Raw genomic sequence first — 20,914 nt, forward strand, 5'->3', positions numbered from 1 at the left:
TACCCTTGGCCTACTCATTGAAAATTACATAGATATAGATATCCATATATTTTTTCTATTCTCCCGATGCTTCTGTATTTTCTTTAAATTTTCTCCTTCATTGGCTTCTCCAAAATTAATTTATCCCTAGAGAAGCTCATTCTTTATTTATTTGTTTTGAGATAGAGTCTTGCTCTGTCGCCCAGGCTGGAGTGCAGCGGTAAGATCTCTGCTCATTGCAACCTCCACCTCTCAGGCTCAAGTGATTCTCCTGCCTCAGCCTCCTGAGTAGCTGACTAGAGGTGCACACAACCACGCCTGGCTAATTTTTGTATTTTTAGTACAGACGGGGTTTCACCATGCTGCCCAGACTGGTCTCAAACTCCTGACCTCAAAGAATCTGCCTGCCTCGGCCTCCCAAAGTGCTGGCATTACAGGCATGAGCCACTGTGCCTAGCCTTGTTCTATCTTTCAAAATCTCTCCTTCCCCTAAACATTTGCCTACCTCCAGAATTACTTTGGATGCCACATTTCTTACCTATCGTTTTGCTTGGCTCCAGTTTTTTTCTTCTGTCTTCTAAATGAGCATATATGGTATGTACTTTGCTGTAATGATCTTTACCTAAGTTTAGTCTCCTCCTAGAAATCTTCCAAACAATTCTCATCCTTTGACACGCCATACTTCTTTCTGCCTTGTTGCTTATAACAATCACATAACATTTTATACATATGCTTATTTGTACCAATATATGCCTTGTTTAAGGAGTAATTTTCATGTATCTTGATAGTCCCCATAGTGCCTAGCATTCTTGCATTTAGTAGACAATTATTCATTCATTTCTTTATTCCTTCAACAAATACTTGAATGGGAGGAACAAAAAGGGGAAAAGCAGAATAAATAACTATAAAAAGTGTGAAACAGGAAAAAGAAATAAGGTGTTAATTTGAGGAAGATTTGAAAACCTGTATTCTATTTTATTTTATCTTTTTTAACCTGATAGCCTTGGACTTGTTTAAAATCCAATGAGAGGTAGAACACACAAGGGAGAGAAGTAAGCAAAGGGTTATGAAGAGATCCTCTAGAAGGATGCTGCAGCTAAGAGTTACAGGTGTGGCCGGGCGCAGTGGCTCACACCTATAATCCCAGCACTTTGGGAGGCCGAGGCAGGCAGATCACGAGGTTAAGCAATCAAGACCATCCTGGCCAACATAGTGAAACCTTGTCTCTACTAAAAATACAAAAATTAGCACGGGCATGGTGTCACGCACCTGTAGTCCCAGCTCCTCGGGAGGTTGAGGCAGGAGAATCGCTTGAACCCGGGAGGCGGAGGTTGCAGTGAGCTGAGATCACGCCACTGCACTCCAGCCTGGTGACAGAGCATGACTCCGTCTCAAAAAAAAAAAAAAAAAGAGTTACAGGTGTGCTGAAGTCTTGATGTCCTCCGCTCCAGGTGGCACAAGCTTCCAGCTATAAGCAGCCAGTGTGTTATGCAAATTTGTTTTTAAGTAGACCATTTTGTGAAAAATATTAGGAAGCCCTTTTGTGAGGTTCCCAAGAAAGTAGATGAGGATGTGTATGAGTCAGAGTACTCTAGATAAATAGAACCAGATATATCTATACATCTATATAGAGAAAGACAGAGAAAAAAGAGATTGATTTTAAGGAGTTGGCTCACCATATTGTGGGGGCTGGCAAGTCTGAAATTCGTAGGGCAGGATGCCAGCAGGCTGGAAATTTTGGCAGGAGTCAATGTTGCAGTCTCAAGTTTGAAGGCAGAATTCCTTCTTCTTCTGGGTACCTCAGTCTTTTCCCTAAAGGCCTTCAACTTACTGAATGAGGTCCACCTACATTACGGAGAGTAATTTGTTTACTCAAAGTCTACTGATTTAAATGTTAATCACATCTGAAAAAAAATAGCTTCATAGCAACAGCTAGACTGGTGTTTGACTAAACAACTGTGTACCATAGCCTAGCCAAGGTAACACATCAAATTAATCATCACAAGATGGAAGCCAAAGGGACAGGTGAAAGTTCGGCTTTGGGTAGGAGGAGGGTCACCTCCACCAATGTAAAAGGAGAAATGTGGATGGAAACTAATGTGGATGTTTAGGTAACTCCAAATCTATGGCTTCTATTTCCTCTGTGAAGCTGGGATGAGAGGAGGAAATCAATGGTTTAAAGATAGTGATAGGTTTGCAAAATTTACTTAGGTGAGTGGGAGAGTAGTTGCCAAGTGAAATAGACTGAGACTGCTGAGAAGAGCTAAAGGTTGGTGATTACAGTCTTATGAGGGGTGTAAATGCTAATAAATGCTCACAACACAGCTATTTCACTCTATTTAAGATGGTATCTTTTCAAGTATTGACACAGTATTGCTCTTTACTTTCTGCTAGCAAACATCACCCTTTGGTTAACTTCTATGCGCCCTTCTATAATCTCTTATTTCATGGATTAGACCTACTGAGTGTTAACTGTGGTAACACTTGTCTGGGGACCTTATTATTTTTTGTCTTGTAAGACTACACATCTAATAAATAACACAATTAAGGGTGGTGCACAGGAGACATGGTGAATGAGCTTAAGGAGAAGGATGTTGTTGTTGAGGCTACTTTAAATGCTAGAAGTACTTTATAGGCTTTTAGCATAGACTCACTGCTCTGTGACTCAATAATAACACACTTCTTTAGCCATCATTCAAAGGACAAGTGTACACACTGTGCAATAGGGACTCCATACGTATTTGAAAATACAAATGAAGATGTGGCTTTTCTTGATTCTATTTTCCACATCTTTGCCTATTTGCATATTATGTTAGCTCTAGAAAATGGCTAGGAGGCAGACTTTTTCCACAACTGTCAATCCAGTGTTCTCCTCTTCTTGTTTGTTTGAATTATCTGATAAGCGGCACTTATTTATTTGAGAGGTAGTAAAAGGTAAAGAAAAAAAAATATATATAGAGAGAGAGAGAGACAGAGTCTCACTCTGTCACCCAGGTTAGAGTGCAGTGGCACGATCTCGGCTCACTGCAACCTCCACCTCCCAGGTTCAAGTGATTCCCCTGCCTCAGCCTCCTGAGTAGCTGGGATTAGGGGCACCTGCCACCATGTCTGGCTAATTTTTGTATTTTCAGCAGAGATGGGGTTTCACCATGTTGGCCAGGCTGGTCTCGAACTCCTGACCTCAAGCCATCCACCTCCCTTGGCCCCCCAAAGTGCTGGGATTATAGGTGTGAACCACCGTGCCCAGCCCAAGAAAAGATTTTTAAACCATGTAGTCAGAAGACCTAGGTAGGTGATGGCAAACTCATATCCTTCCAGAAATATATAACATATTTGCTGTAGCCAAACTAATACATGTACTGGCAGATCTCGTAATCTTGGATCTATGTTTTAGTTCAGACTTTATCACGTACTAGAGCTTTGATTTGGATAATCTGCCTTCTGTTGGCTTCATTTCATTTATCTGTAAAATGTTAATAATGCTTGTTTTACCTGGGGCATAGGATTATGATAAAGGTTATATAATATAATGTTATATAATAGAAACTTCAGATATACAAATATACATGTATTAGTCAGGGTTCTCCACAGAAGCAAAACCAATATGGGGTGTGTGTGTGTGTGTATTCAAGAGAGAATTTATTTTACGGAATTGGTTCGTGTGATTATGCGGACTGGCAAGTCTGAAATCCATAAACAGGAGAGCAGGTTGAAAATTCCAGGAAGAGCTGGTGTTGTAGTATAGAGTCCCACACTTGCCGGCTGGAAATTTAGGCAGGATTTCTATGTTACACTCTTGAGTTAGAATTGCTTCTTCTTCAGGAAACCTCAGTCTTTGCTCTTAATGGCTTTGATTAATTAGATGAGGCTCACCCATGATATGAGAGTAATCTGCTTTACTCGAGGTTTACCTTTTAAATGTTAATCGTATATAAAAACACCTTCACAGAAACATGCAGTCTAGTATATACTAAACAACTGGGGTACAATTGCCTAGCCTAGTTGACACGTAAAATTAAGCAGCACAATACAGCATTAAGATGAATATCTGGGCTCTTGATTTAGGTTGCCTGAATTTAATTCTAACTCTACCTTTGGGAGCTAAGAGTCCTTCAGCAAATATTGCATTCTTTCTGTGATTCAGTGTTCTCATCTGTTAAACCACCTTACAGAGCTGTTGTGAGATTCAATATAGAACACACATGTAGTGTGTTCAGAATAAGATAGTATGGAGTAAATGTGCAGTAAATTTGGCTACTATTAAACAAAAGCCATTATTATTACTGTTATTAAATCTGAAAATATAACAATATACAAATTTTAAATAAAAAAGAAATTTTTCTGTTTGCTAGTCCTGCTGTTTTCCCTTTCCTCTGGGTCTGAGTATAAGGACAGCAGTCAGTCATCCTGGATTTACCGAAACAGTCACACTTTCAATATTCTGCCTTATTATTCCCATTCACATACTCTGTCAGACCTTTCATTCTGATGTGTGGTTCACAAAATATGCATGCCATACATGGTGATGACAACTGACTTTATTTATTTATTTATTTTTGAGAAGGAGTCTCACTCTGTCGCCCAGGCTGGAGTGCAGTGGTGCAATCTTGGCTCACTGGAACCTCTGCTTCCTGAGTTCAAGTGATTCTCCTGCCTCAGCCTCCCAAGTAGCAGGGATTACAGGCACCTGCCACCACACCTGGCTTTTTATTTATATTTTGTTTTTGTATTTTTAGTAGAGATGGAGTTTAGCCATGTTGGCCAGGCTGGTCTCAAACTCCTGACCTCAGGTGATCCACTCGTCTTAGCCTTCCAAAGTGCTGGGATTACAGGTGTGAGCCACCATGCCCAGCCGATAATTGACCTTTTGAAGATGGTAGCTGAGCCTTACAACTCAGGCTCATGGTTGACTCTGTAGTTTGATAGAGAATAACAAGTTAGCCATCTGTCAGCTAAAAAGCTTTGCTGCTTTGTGGGTGGTATCTTGGTGCTGGATTATTAATATCATGTGAAGTTATTCATTAATTCTTTGCCATCATCTCAGAGGGTCATAGCATATTTATTTCTCTGCATCTGAACATACCAGCATGATCTAAAGCAATTTGTTGATATGTAATGTTATTTGCTAATAATCATGTGATTTTTATCATTTCAAACTAATTTCTCAGAATTACCTGATTAACTGTGGGTTTTCCTTTAGTGACATAAGTGTATATTTAATAATTTCCCAATTTCAGAATTACTTGATTAATTATGGGTTCTCCTTCAGCGACATAAGTGTACATTTAGTAATTTCCCAATTTCGTTAGAGTCACAGTATGTGGGCAAATCTGTGGGTTCTTAATGTGCCTTTATATATTATGTCTAAGTGTTCAGATAAAAATAATTTAGCTTAGAAAAAGAAAATAAAAATTAAAAAGGAATTAAAAATTTAACAGGTCAGTTATGTGACCTTTATTATTAAGCTAATCTAATACTTAATCTGTTTTCAAAACTGTGAATTTACTAAATTATGAATAAGAAGTCCATTTTTGCTGCACTTACAGAGATGAGATGAAGAGCTGGCCACCAAGGAAGGCTCTCACAGGTTGGCAGTAAGTAGGCAGAGCCACTGACCCAGAATGCGGATCCTAGATTTTCACATTTTGAACTTCAGTTTCATCAGGAACTTAGAACTTAGGTGATTCAATTCTCAGGAATAACTTTTTTTTTCTTTCTTTCTTTTTTTTTTTTTTTTGAGACGGAGTCTCGCTCTTGTCACCCAGGCTGGAGTGCTGGAGTGCTGGAGTTCAGTGGCGCAATCTCAGCTCACTGCAACCTCCACCTCCCGGGCTCAAGCAGTTCTCCTGCGTCAGCCTCCCAAGTAGCTGGGATTCCAGACATGCGCCACCATGCCCGGCTAATTTTTGTATTTTTAGTAGACACAGGGTTTCACCCTGTTGGCCGGGCTGGTCTCGAACTCCTGATCTCAGGTGATCCACTTGCCTTGGCCTCTCAAAGTGCTGGGATTCCAGGCGTGTGTCACCATGCCCGGCCCGGAACAACTCTTTTTTGTTTGTTTGTTTGTTTTGTTTTGTTTTGTTTTTGAGAGAGAGTCTCGCTCTGTCGCCCAGGCTGGAGTGCAGTGGCTTGATCTTGGCTCACTGCAAGCTCCACCTCCCAGGTTCACACCATTCTCCTGCCTCAGCCTCCCAAGTAGCTGGGACTACAGGCGCCCGTCACCACGCCCGGCTAATTTTTTGTATTTTTAGTAGAGACGGGGTTTCACTGTGTTAGCCAGGATGGTCTCGATCTCCTGACCTCGTGATCTGCCCGCCTCGGCCTCCCAAAGTGCTGGGATTACATGCGTGAACCACCATGCCCGGCCAGGAACAACTGTTAAGTGTCAAACTCAGAAATGATTGTTGTGTATGTGATTCACAATGTCAATTTATTCAGTTACAATGAAAGCTGTTTCTATCTGTTTCTAATTAATGGAAGATTAATCTAAGTTACTGCTTTCTCCTTGCATCAAAGTCCCTAATCCTCAATTAGTATTTAAAATTATGTTTCAAGAGTTCACAATTTGGTTAACGGGAACTTGACAGTTGCATCTATACTAGAGAAGCATTTTGGTTTTATATTACGGACCAACTCCATTTGCTTGGGGTGCTGGGTTGGAAAGTAGTTCAAAATGACATTTGAGGCCAGTGAAAAGGAATGCTATGATTGAATGACAGTGTCTTACACCTGTCCAAGACTGCTAGTGTGAGCTGAGCTTGCTGTGTATTTGACATCTTTGACTGAGGCTATTGATGAAAAGCTCACAAGTATCCTTGACCCACAATGTATCACAACATTCTGGTCCCCTCACTCTAGTAATTAAAAAACAGGTGTTTTCTGGCTGCATTGCCTCTTTCCTTTAGACAAAGATCGAAATAATGTTATTATCTAAAATATTACTCTCTTACACAGATTACCACCTTTTTGTGACCATGTTTTTTTGTGATAGGTGACAATATCCTTAAGTAGGAAGTTGCTTTCTTTAGTTATATTATAGTCCTAAGAATAGCCCCAGTGATGCTTCCACAGTTTCCATAAACATTTTTAAAAACCAGTCCTGAAAGATGTAGGATAATATTTGATGTTGACATATGATTAATTCAATGAGGACTGACTCTATTTTATAATTGCCAGAAGTGAGTGGATTGTGTCACCAGATTTAGGGGCACTCCACACCACTTTATGCTGAAAACTTGTTTTTAGTGCTCCATACTACCAAAGACTTCATAGTTTGTCTCGTGAGTCTCTAAACTTTTCTTGATAGGGATTGGCTTTTGATGTTGCGGAAGTCTTATGCTATACGGGTAAGGAAAGACACTCACAACATGGGCCTTATGCACACAGCATCTTAGCAGTGGGAGCAGAGCCTGCTCAGGCTTCAAGACTGACCAGAAGAGGGCAGACAACCTCTTGGATTACCTTGATTTAAGTGATTGCCTCTCCTCTGTAAAGGACAGAGATTTCACCCCCAAGACATTCCTTTGGTGTGACAGTAGGGACTGAGAGATACAGATTTGAAGAGCTAGTAAGCAAGAATACATTATGATTTTTTAAATCATAGTTTCATATTTTTAAAAGGAGACTGCTTACTTAACAGGATAACTATTTTTCTTCTTTAATTTCAATTTGGATGAGCTCAAGGATGCTATGCCATACTTATTATACTAGACTTCAAAAGGCTTTGTTTAAAGCAAAGCAAGCCTAAAATCTACACAACTCTGAAAATCACTTCAGAGAATCTTGAATAAACTTTTCTTCAGGGTATTTCAGACTAATCTAAGAAAATATTTGCTTGAACACTGTGTGTATTTTTTAAAAGGAATTCTGTTCAGCCCCTCGTTATTAATGTTTATTTTATTTGTGAAGTTCTTTAGACTCTTCAGAAGGAGGGTTAATGATTAAGAACCAAGGTAAAACATTGTTTCTTTTTTATTCTTATATTTCATTCAACTGAAAAAGATCTTAATCATTAGCATGACATATTTATTAATGTTTCTAATTTCAAGGATTAATTTTTATTTTTGCAAGGATTAATTTTTTTTTTTTTTGCAATATGGCTGTTAGAATGACCTCAAAATTATATAACTCCCTGCTTTTTGGTTGTGTAAAAATTTGTACATGATTGAGTATTCTGAATGTCTCGAATGCCTCCAAGTCCTTCATCTCCAGGGTCAGTTTGCCCTTCAGTATCCAACAATTATAGTCCAATCTTGCATACCTTGATTATTTGCAGGCAATTTATTTATTGTTATTGTATTTCTTTCCTATAATATTTTTGAATTCCAGGAATGTCTAATTTTTCCATACATTTCTCTGATTTTTTTTTTTTTTTTTTTTTTTTTTTTTTTTTTACGGAGTTTTGCTCTTGTTGCCCGGGCTGGAGTGCAACGGCACGATCTCACCTTTCCGCAACCTCTGCCTTCAGGGTTCAAGCAATTCTCCCGCCTCAGCCTCCCAAGTAGCTGGGATTACAGGCATGCACCACCACATCCAGCTAATTTTGTATTTTTAGTAGAGATGAGGTTTCTCTGTGTTGGTCAGGCTGGTCTCGAACTCCCGACCTCAGGTGAACCATCCACCTCGGCCTCCCAAAGTGCTGGGATTATAGGCGTGAGCCACCACGTCCAGCCTCTCTGATTATTTTTTTATCAGTCTGTATCAGTTACAAAGTTTTCAGCTTCAACTGGCATAAACCTGACTCAAGTTGGGCTTCACTATTGAAGGTATTGACTCACATCAAGGCACTGCAGAGGTAGGGCATGCCTCAGAGGTGGTGGTTTGATGAGATGGACTTGGGTTCTTTTTGTCTATCTGCAACTACATCCACTAGATAAATTGCATCCTAAATTTCTCTTGCGGTCATAGGATTGTAGTCAGTAGCATTTGGGAATACAGGCTTCCATTTTCAAGTCTAAGAAGAAAGAACTTGACTGTTTGTAACTTACTCTTAAGAGTTAAGATATTTCTTTCCTAGGAGACCACAGCAAAACTCTCCTCATCTCTCATTGGTTTAAATGAGCTTAGGCCTTTCCACTGACAACTTCCAGCAAGGGGAATGGGATTATCATAATTGGCCCATATTAATCAGTGATCCTTGTCCCCCCTCTCCCAGACCCAGGTGGGGTAGAAAATGGATATTGGGTAGTCAGTCATTCCATATCATGCTGCTATGGACTGATGTTCTGGGCTTTTCTATTTGTTGCCCCTTACTGCATTATACCTGCTTTCTAGGCTGCTGCCACTTCCCTGCCCTTCTTGACCCTAGGCATAGACATAATAGTAAAAATGGCAAGTTTAGTTTTCCCAAACATAGACACATCAGTAAAGACACTTGGAGACTGCAATATGGGAAACAAAAACATAATACTGAGTACTGAGGTCTTGCCTTGTCTCTTTCTCCTGCCTTGCCTTCTCCTGCTTCCTGTCACCCGCTTCTTCCCTTCCTCTTCATTTCCTGAGGCCTCCTCAATTCTTGATGCAAATCAGTATCCAGGTGGCCCACGGGGTCCCATGGGGGACCATGTTGGTGGATGAAAAGAGAATGCCAAGAAGGTAAATGGGAGAATTTGGTGATAAGAGCAGATGGCTGACCAGAGACACTGGATGTCAGTTCTCCTCAGAAAGATCAAAGTTACTGGTGAATGGACAAGTTCTGAATGGAAAGCTGAGAGAAGAGAACCAGGATCTGTTGGAGTGCCTATGGGAAGGAGCTGGGGTACAAAAAAGGAAAGCAGCAAGAGTCTGGTAAAGGTCAACCCAGGAAACTCAGAGTCCATGGAAAGGGTAGGTGGGAGTGCCCTTGGTGGGAGGAGCCCTACAAAAGCCCCCTCATGACAAAGGAAATAAGGGCACAGCACCAGTTACTGAAGTGGGCGGCACTGGCTCCCAGGAACAGATGTGAAGGAATATCATCTCCTGCCTTCCCCGATAACTTGTTGGGGATGCAACTTCCCACCGGGGGCCAGAGCACATGCACTTGGAGAAAGTGTTTTTCATACTTTTTGTGGTGGCTTCACCCTCGCTGAAAGTGAGTCCATGCCGTTTGAGCTTGTACAAAGCCCAACTCCCCATCCCTAGTCCCTATACAGAGCAGTAGCATCTAGCAATGGAGGAGAGATTGGCCATAGAGTTGCCTGCTCTGGACCAAGGGAAGAGGGTCTGCCCTGAGCCCATATTGGGGTAGCTCTCAGAGGGGTGTGTCCAGGGCCTGCAGCCACACTGTGGTGGGGAACCAAAGGTCAGTCTTTATGAAATAAGGGTCATGAGCCCTATGACAGGGGTGTGATAGGGAAGTGGATCACATTCCTGCCAACTCAGGATGAGGAGTTGGTACACACCCCAGCCCCTTCCCCTGACACTTCAGTGCACCCCAACACAATCTCTTCCTACCACCCATCCTTCAGGGCAGGTGCTTCCACTCATCATCAGTCCACCTGACGACAAGCCAGCTTTTACACTTAAGCACCATCTATTGGATTGCAGCCTGAACTGCATCACCAAATAAAAAGCAAGCCTGCTGCCAGACAGGCTAAGTGCTGGTACATGGGACAAGCTTTCTGAGATATCAGAACTCTCAGTCAGTCCTGAAGGAGATAGTTTGTTGGCTCATACATCCAATGCATCACTACAACAAGCAACATCTAAGAAAGCCACTGCACAGAAGCTATCCACAACCAATGAACCCATATAGAGTCTTGGCCCACTGAAAACACCCAGGAATGAAGCCAAATGACCATATGCAGTGTACACCTTAGTCAGGCCCTCAAGAGAAAAAAGAATTTAAAAATAAAAATGTCCCATCCAAACAATAGAAAATTCAAAAATAAGAAGCACCAGTTCCCTCAGATGAGAAGGAATCAGCACAAGAACTCTGAAAGTACTAAAAGCCAGAGTTCTTGACCCCTCCGAAGGATTGCATTCTCTTTCTAGCAATGGATCCTAATCAAATTGAAAAGTTTGAAATGACAGAAAAAGAATTCAAAATATAAATTGCAAGGAAACTCAATGAGATCCAAGAGAAAGTTGAAATCCAATAAGAAGAAGCCAGAAAAATGATTCAAGATATAAAAGACAAGACAGCTATATTAAGAAAAAACCAAATAGAACTTCTGGAATAGAAACATTCCCTAAAGGATTTAAAAATACAGTTGGAATCTTTAACAATAGGCTAGGCAAAGCAGAAGAAAGCATTTCAGAGCTTGAACGCTGGTCTTTTGAATTCACCCAGTCAGACAAAAATCAAGAAAACAGAATTTTAAAAAATGATCAAAGCCTTAGAGAAATATAGGATTATGTAAAGTGACCAAATTTACTGACATTGGCATTCCTGAGAAAAAAGAAAAAGCAAGCAACTTGGAAAACATACTTGAGGAAAAAAATTCAGGAAAATTTCCCTAATCTTGCTAGAGAAGTCAACATCCAGATATAAGAAATTCAGAGAACACCTGCAAGACACTTCACCATATGACCATTCCTGAGGTACAGTCATCAGACTATCCAAGGTCAATGTGAAGGGGAAAAATCTTAAAGGCAACTAGAGAAAAGGGTCAAAATTACCTATAAAGGAAATCCCATCAGACTAACAGTAGACTTCTCAGCAGAAACATTACAAACCAAAAGAGATTGGGGGCCTAGTTTTAGCCTTCTTAAAGAAAAGAAAATGCTGCCAAGAATTTCATATCCTGCCAAACAAGCTTCATAAACGAAGGAGAAGTAAAGTCATTCCCAGAGAAGCAAATGCTACGGGAATTTGTCATTACCAGATCAGTCTTAAAAAAATACTCAGAAGAGATCTGCACATGGAAACAAAAGAATGACGCTTGCTACCATAAAAGCACACATAAGTACACAGATCATATAAGGCAATTATATAATTGAGACTACACTATTTATCACTTAGCAACAGTATGACAGGAACAAACCTCACATATCGATATTAACCTCTGGGACATAACGAAAGCAGTATTAAGAGAAAAGTTTATAGCACTAAATGCCGACATCACAAAGAGAGATCTCAAATTAACAACCTAACATTGCACCTAAAGGAACTAGATAAACAAAAAGCTTAAATGCTTCACTTAAAAGACACAGAGTGGCACATTGGGCAGAAATAAGACCCAAGCTTCCACCGCCTTCAAGAGACCTATCTTATGTGTAAAAACATTCATAGGCTCAAAATAAAGGGATGGAGAAAGATCAATCACACAAATGGAAAACAAAAAACAGCAGAGGTTACTATTTTTATATCAGATAAAACAGACTTTAAAGCAACAACAGTAAGAAAAGAGACAGAAGGGCATTATTTAATGATAAAGGGTTCAATTCAACACTGCGTATGCACTGAACATCAGAGTACCCACATTTATAAAACAAATTCTACTAGACCTAAAGAGAAAGATAGACAGTGATCCAATAACAGTGGGTGACTTCAACACTCCACTGACAACACTAGACAGATCACTGTGGCAGAAAACTAACAAAGAAACTCTGGACTTAAATTGGACTCTTGACCAAATGGACCTAATAGACATCTACAGAATATTCCACCCCACAATCACATAATATAATTTTTCTAATCTGTGCTATGAAAAATTCTCTAAAATTGACCATACACTTGGTATTACAGAGAATCTCAGTACATTTTTAAAAACTGAAATCATATCATATCAAGCATCTTCTCAGACCACAGTGAAGTAAAATTATAAATCAATACCAAGAAGAACACTCAAAACAACAGATGTACGTGGAAACTAAACAATTTGCTTCTGAATGACTTTTGGGTAAAGAACAAAATTAACGCAGAAATATAAAAATATTTTGAAACAAATGAGAATGGAGACACAACACACCAAAATCTCTGGGACATAATGAAAGCAGTATTAAGAGAAAAGTTTATAGCACTAAATGCCGACATCACAAAGAGATCTCAAATTAACAACCTAATGTTGCACCTAAAGGAACTAGATAAACAAAAACAAAGCAAACACAAAGCTAACAGAAGAAAAGCAATAACAAAGATTATAGCAAAACTAGATGAAATTGAGGCCAAAAAACCAGACAAAGGATCAACAAAACAAGAAGTTGGTTTTTTGAAAGGATAAACAAAATTGATAGATTGTCCTAGATTAACCAAGAAAACAAGATTGTGCAAATAACCACATTCAGAAGTGACAGAGGTAGCACTAGCATTACAACTGATACCACAAAAATACAAAAGATCCTCAGAGACTACTAGGAACATCTCTGTGCACACACTAGAATATCTATAGAAAACGAATAATTTTCTGGAAACATGAAACCTCCCAAGAGTGAACCAGGAAGAAATTGAAATGCTGAACAGACCAATAATTAATTGTGAAATTGAATCAGTAATAAAAAATCTACCAAACAATAAAAGCCCTGGACCAGATGCATTTAGAGCCAAATTCTACCAGATGTTCAAAGAAGAACTGGTACTAATCTTACTGAAAGTATTGCAAAAAATCAAGTCAGACGTATTCTTCTCTAACTCATTCTGTAAAGCCAGTATCATCCTGATACCAAAATCTGGCAAGGACAAAACAAAAAGGAAACTACAAGCCAATATCCTTGATAAACACAAACACAAAAATCCTCAGCAAACTACTAGCAAACCAAATCCAGCAGTGCATCAAAAAGATAATTTATCACAATCAAGAGGGTTTTATTCCTGGGATGCAAGGATGTTTCAACATATGCAAATCAATAAATGTGATTCATCACATAAACAAAATTAAAAACCAAAATTATATGATCATCTCAATAGACAGAAAAAGCATTTGATAAAAAAATCCAATGTCTCTTCATGATAAAAACCCTCAACAAACTAGGCATTAACAAACTAGGCACTGAAGGAACATATCTCAAAATAATAAGAGCCATTTATTGCAAACCCACAGCTGACATGATATTCAATGGGCAAAAGCTTGAAGCAAGCATTCCCCCTAAGAACTGGCACAAAACATGGATGCCCACTTGTACCACTCCTATTCAACATAGTACTGAAAGTTCTAGCTACAGAATTCAGAAAAAATAAAGAAATAAAAGGCATCCACATAGGAAAAGAGAAAGTCAAATTATCTCTGTTCTCTGATGACATGATTCTATACCTAGAAAATCCTAAGGATTTCTCTGAAAGACTCCTAGACATGATAAATGAATTCAGCAAAACTTCAGGATACAAAATCAACATACAAATATCAGTAGCATTTCTTTATTATTATTATTATACTTTAAGTTCTAGGGTACCTGTGCACAACATGCAGGTTTGTTACGTAGGTATACATGTCCCATGTTGGTTTGCTGCACCCATCAACTCGTCATTTACATTAGGTATTTCACCTAATGCTATCCCTCCCTCAGCCCCCCACCTCCAACCAGCCCCGGTGTCTGATGTTCCCCGCCCTGTGTCCACGTGTTCTCACTGTTCAACTCCCACCTATGAGTGAGAACATGCGGCGTTTGGTTTTCTGTCCTTGTGATAATTTGCTGAGAATGATGGTTTCCAGCTTCATCCATGTCCCTGCAAAGGACACAAACTCATTCTTTTTTATGGCTGCGTAGTATTTCATGGTGTATATGTGCCACATTTTCTTAATCCAGTCTATCATTAATGCATATTTGGGTTGGTTCTAAGTCTTTGCTATTAAATACCAGTAGCATTTCTATACATCCAGGATGTTCAAGCTGAAAACCAAATTGAGAACTCAATCCCATTTACAATAGCCAAACAAAAAAGAAAATACTTAGGAATACACTAAACCAAGAAGGCGAAAGATCTTTACAAGGAGAACTGCATAACACTGATGAGTGAGATCACCGATGGCGCAAACAAATGGAAAAGTATCCCATCCCCATGAACAAGAAGAATCAATATCATTAAAATGACCATACTGCCCAAAGCAATCCATAAATTCAATGCTATTCCTATCAAATTACCAATGCCATTTTTTCACAGAATTAGAAAAAACAATTCTAAAATTCATGTGAAACCCCCAAAGAGCCCAAATAGCCAAAGCAATCCTCAGCAAAAAGAACAAATCTGGAGGCATCACGTTGCCTGAGTTTAAACTATACCATATGGCTATGGTAACCAAAACAGCATTGTAATAGTGAAAAACAAACAAACAAACAAAAACCAGACACATAGATCAGTGGAACAGAATAGAAAACCCAGAAATAAAGCCACACCTACAACCAACTGGTCTTTGACAAAGTTGACAAAAATAAACAATGGAGGAAGGACATCTTATTCAATAAATGGTCTGAGAAAACTGAGTATCCATACACAGAAGAATGAAACTGGACCCCCACCTCTCACCATATAAAAAATTAACTCAAGAGGAATTAAATACTTAAATTTATGACCTCAAAATATGAAAATTCAGGAAAAACTCTTGTGGACATTGGCCTAGACAAAGAATTTATGACTAAGACCTGAATAGCAAAGGCAACAAAACCAAAAATAGACAAATGAGATGTAATTAAACTGAAGAGCTTCTGCACAGCAAACAATAAACAAACAAACACACAAACCAGAAACAATCAATAGAATAAACAGACAACCTCCAGAATGAGAAAAGTATGCATGCAACAAAGGACTAATATCCAGAATCTATATGGAACTTAAACAAATAGCCCATTAAAAAGCAGGCAAAGGACATGAACAAAGATTTCTGAAAAGAAGATATACAAGAGGCCAACAAACATAGGAAAAAATGCTCATCAACACTAATCATCAGAGAAATGCAAATTAAAACCATAATGAGATACCATCTCACACCAGTCAAAATAGCTATTATTAAAAAGTCAAAAATAACAGATATTGGCAAAGATATGAAGAAAAGAGAACACTTACACACTGTTGGTGAGAAAGTGAAGTAGTTCAACCCTTATGGAAAACAGTATTGAGATTTCTCAAAGAACTAAAAATAGAACTACCATTTGACCCAGCAATCCCACTGCTGAGTATCTGTCCAAAGGAAAATAAATTGTTTTATCAAAAAGACACCTGCACTTGTATGTTTATCTCAGCAGTATTCACAATTGCAAAGACATGGAATCAACCTAAGTGACCATCAGTGGTGGGTTCGACAAGGAAAATGTGGTACATATGCACCATGGAATACTATGCAGCCATAAAAAAGAATGAAATAATATTTTTTTGCAGTAACATAGATGCAGCCAGAGGCCTAAGTGAACTAATGCACAAACAGAAAATCAAGTACCACAAGTTACCACTTATAAGTAAGAGCTAAACAATGGGTACATGTGAACATAAAGATGGAAACAATAGATACCAGAGGCTTTAAAATTTGAGGGGGCAAGGGTTGAAAAACTGCCTGTTGGGTACTATGTTCGCTGTTTGGGTGGCGAGTTAACTACAAGCCCAAACCTCAGCATTATGCAATACACCCATGTAACAAACTGCACATGTATCCCCTGAATCTATAATACAATAATACTCAGTACCACATATTACTGTTCCTAGAGGTGATCGACTGTGTGCCTGCCCTGGGGGACTCTACTGAACATTGCTCTCTTCGGTACCTTTCCTGCCTCTATTGTTCAGGGGCAGCATGTCTCCTGTAAGTAGGGGTCCTCTTCACTTTGTCTTTCATCTCCAGAATCACAAATCACAATCTTTTCTGTTTCATATCACAGTACAGGAGAAAAAAATAGATACCCTCACACCACATATGGCCAATGACATCCAAATTATTCTTCTATGTCTGATCTCTCTGTTGAGGTCTGAACTAAAGCAGCTAGTGTCTATTGTAATGGAGCCAATATCTCCATTTAGGTACTTAATAGGCAACTTAAACTTAACATGGCCAAAAGGTTAACTCTATATTCCTCCTCAATCTGAACCTTTTCCTCTCCCAGGCCTTTCCATGAATAGAAATAAATGTATTTATTTATAGAAACTCATTTACCCAGTTGATTAAGCCAAAAAGTTTGGAGTCAAAATCAAATTTTTTCCTTTTCTTTAAAATCCACATACCATTCATCAGTGAGTTATGTTGGCCACACATGCAAAAACACATCTGGAATCCATCTGCTTCCTTTTTCTCCACTGCTCTACCACCCCAGTCCAAAATTCCATCACCATTCACCTAGCTTGCCTCTTAACTCCTGTCCCAGTTTTCACTATTGCACCTATATGCACTTTATTGGCCTGGTAATCTTTTAAAACAATATATAAAATAATGTCACCTCCATTCTGAATATATTCTACATTTTAATTCTTTATTTTGTATGTGTGTTGCAAGTCTATCTTCCAGTTTTTTTCGTGTTTTTATTATGTTTTGATTAACATAAGGTTTTAATTTTAAAGTTTTCGAATTTATAAATATTTTCCTTTAAGTTTGTCATTTTTGTTTTTTCTTTAATAAATTCTAACTTGAGTGTATAAACATTTATCTACATTTTCTCCTATATGTTTAAATGTTTTCCCTTTCAAATGTAAGTTTTAAATTTCCTGGGACTGATTTTTATGTATTATATGAGGTACATATCCAGCTTTTTTCTTACACGGTTAAACAATGGTTTTGTCAACATTGTTGAACAGTCCTAATTTTCCCATTGATCTGAAGTGCCACCCAGGCTGAAGTGCAGTGATGTGATCTCGGCTTACTGCAACCTCCGCCTCTTGGGTTCAAGCGATTCTCCTGCCTCAGCCTCCTGAGTAGCTGGGACTACAGACACATGCCACCATACCCAGCTAATTTTTGTATTTTTAGTAGAGACAGGGTTTCACCATGTTGGCCAGGCTGGTCTCGAACTCCTGACATCAGGTGATTCACCCGCCTCGGCCTCCCAAAGTGCTGGGTGAAGTGCCAAATTTGTTCATAAATCAAGTTTCCATAAATGTATAGATTAGTTGTTGGGCTTCTCTCTTTAGTTCCACTGAACACATTCTCTATGTCTATGCTAATATTACACTTTCATCTTAGTTGCTAGAGCTTTATGACTTTTTACTGAAGTTAAAACAAATCTCTCCACTTACTCTTTTGCTTTAGGAGAGTTTTGGCTCTTTTCCGGACTCTTGGAATTCAGTGCATAGAATCATCTTGCTAAGTTCCATGAAAAAAAATTATGCCGAAATTTTAATTTTATCCAAACTTTAAGTCGAGATTATAATTGATATTTAAAAAACTATATTGAGTCTTTCTAAAAAGATGGCGTATCACTCTACTTATTTAGGTATTTTAAGATATCTTTCAATAAACTTTTGTAATTTTTCTACAAAGTGCTTACATATTTTAATGGTTTTTACTTAGTTGCTACTATAAACACTAAAATTACATTTTCTTCCTTTTTTTTTTTTTTTTTTTTTTTTTTGAGACAGAGTCTCACTCTGCTGCCCAGGCTGGAGTGCAGTGGTGCAATCTTGGCTCACTGTAGCCTCTGTCTCCTGTGTTCAAGTGATTGTCATGCCTCAGCCTTTCAAGTAGCTGGGACCACACATGTGCATCAGCATGCCCTGCTAACTTTCTGTATTTTTAGTAGAGATGGGGTTTCACCATGTTGCGCAGGCTGGTCTTGAACTCCTGAGCTCAGGCAATCCGCCCACCTCAGCCTCCCAAAGTGTAAAATTACATTTTCTATTTGTTGCTGGTATATAGAAATGAAGTAGATTTATTTACATTGGTTTTATTTCTAGCAACACTGCTAAACTCTTATATATCCTAATATTTTTCTATATATTCTGTGGGTTTTATGTGTAAACTTTCAACTGTATCATCTAAAGAATTATAGTATTTGTTCTCAATTTTAAATACTTAATTCTTTGACTTATTTTTTCCTTATCTTACTACCCTGTCTATAATCTCCAGAACAATGTTGAACAGAAATTGTGATAGGAATAATAATTTTTCCTGATTCTAAAGAGAATGTTTATATTCTTTTAGAAAAATGATAGCAATAAGGCCTTTGTAGATTCCCTTTTTCATGTTATGAACATTCAATTCTACCAGTTAGATAAGAATTTTAGTCATGAATGGATATTAAATTTTGTTAAATATCTTTCCTGAGTCTGTAAAGAAGGTCATATGGTTTTCCTCCTTTCAGATATTATTGGGATGCAATGTGTTGATTGATCTGCTGATATTCAAACAACCTTGAAATCTTGGAATAAATACAACTTGGCAATCTCATCTTTTAAAATAAATTGCTAATGTGCTAATATTGCTAATGCTAATATTTTGTTTAGGACTTGTCCTAGTCTGTTTGGGCTTCTATAACAAAACACCATAAACTGCATAACTTACAAACAAAATAAATTTATTTCTCCTATTTCTGAATACTTGGAAGTCCAAGATCAAGATGGCAGCAGATTCAGTGTCCAGTGAGAGCCAGCTTTTGGTTCATAGATGATGCCTTACAATGTGTCCTCACATGGTGGAAGGAAAAGGCAGTTCTCTAGGGTCTCTTTTATAAGGACACTAATCCCACTGATCTAGTTACCTCCCAGAAGCTCCACCTTCCAATACTATCACACTAAGGATTAGGTTTCAACGTATGAATTGGGTAGGGAGTGTACAAACATTCAGACCATAGCAGGACATTTTTACTTAAAAAATATTTACTTTATCAACTATTCTTGGATTATTTAAGCACTAAATTAATCACTGTCTAAGCAGAAAAATATAGGATCATTTTAGACTTGCAAGAAGGTGAAATTTAAAACAGGAAATTAAATTTATTACAAAGTTGTTAGGAGAGTTAGAGGAACAAAAAAGGAAAGATTAATTACCCAATGAAGGTAAATGAGGGTTAGAGAAGCAAAAGAAAAATGATATTACCTGATGCCTATGTTTGCTACGATTCTGAGGCTGCTGTAGCTGGAAGGAAGTTGACTAAGCAGTTACTCTTCTGCTAAGCATCTACTCTCACAGGTGGCTGCCACCATGACAGCTAAATCTACCATGGCTGGTTGAACCGACAGAAATTAGAAACAAATTGCTTCTATTCCACTAACTGTCCAGTCTCTTGTCAGTGCCTCACATTAGCAGGAACAAACAGGAAGCCAGATGGCAAGGAGATTATGAAATATAGCTTGCAGACTTCCAGCCCCAAAGATAAGTGTATACAGGGCAAGTATGGAGTAGAGAGAAAACATTAGACATCACAGTATCAAGATTTATACTAACCTTATAGAATGAGACAGAGAATGTTCTTTCTTTTTCTATTCTTTGAAAGAGTTCATGAACATGAAACTATTAATTAATATTTGCCAGAACCAACTGATAAACCATCTCATCCTGGTGTTTTCTTTCTATAATGATATTTTAAGCTACTGATTAAAGTTTTAACTACTACTTCACTACTGAGGTTCTATTTCTAAAATGTGACAAAAGATGCGGATGATCTAGCTATTGTTCTGACTTATTCTCTCATTCTCTCTGTTTCCTAGCCTTTTTGAATCATTTTAATACATTTTTACTGTATTTTTTGTGCTTCTGGACACACTTTCATGTATCTAAAGAATTCTGTGATATTTGTGAATTCACAAAGATCAAACTTTATACACATATCTAAACTTACACATGGAGTGAAAAGAAGCATTCCCTAAATGTGAGAGATTATACATGGGGTGAATGCAGTTGTGAGCAAGGCTCACAAGGGCATGAGATCTGTGCAGGTCCACAGGGCCGTCTCTTGCACTGTAATGCTCTGCTGTTGCTGTCTTGGAGTTTTTAATTTTTGAACAAGAGGTCCCACATTTTTATTTTGCATGGGTCTCTGAAAAATTACGTAGCTAATCTTTTTGTGAGCATTGGGAGAGATAGATTTGGAGTTAAGCTTTCTTTTCCTTCTTTTCTTTGTAATTAACTGTGAAAATAAGAGTTCTTCAAAGACCTATTAATGGTAT

General features: G+C 38.3%; 1 protein-coding gene across 3 annotated transcripts in view; it reads right to left on the reverse strand.

Annotated features, from left to right (window-relative positions):
- SAMD3 (sterile alpha motif domain containing 3) overlaps positions 1 to 20,914 on the reverse strand; it is a 223,117-nt gene that overhangs the window by 143,820 nt on the left and 58,383 nt on the right. The gene's annotated exons all lie outside the window — the stretch shown is intronic.

Source organism: Homo sapiens, chromosome 6 (assembly GCF_000001405.40).
Source record: "Homo sapiens chromosome 6, GRCh38.p14 Primary Assembly".
Classification (NCBI taxonomy): domain Eukaryota; kingdom Metazoa; phylum Chordata; class Mammalia; order Primates; family Hominidae; genus Homo; species Homo sapiens.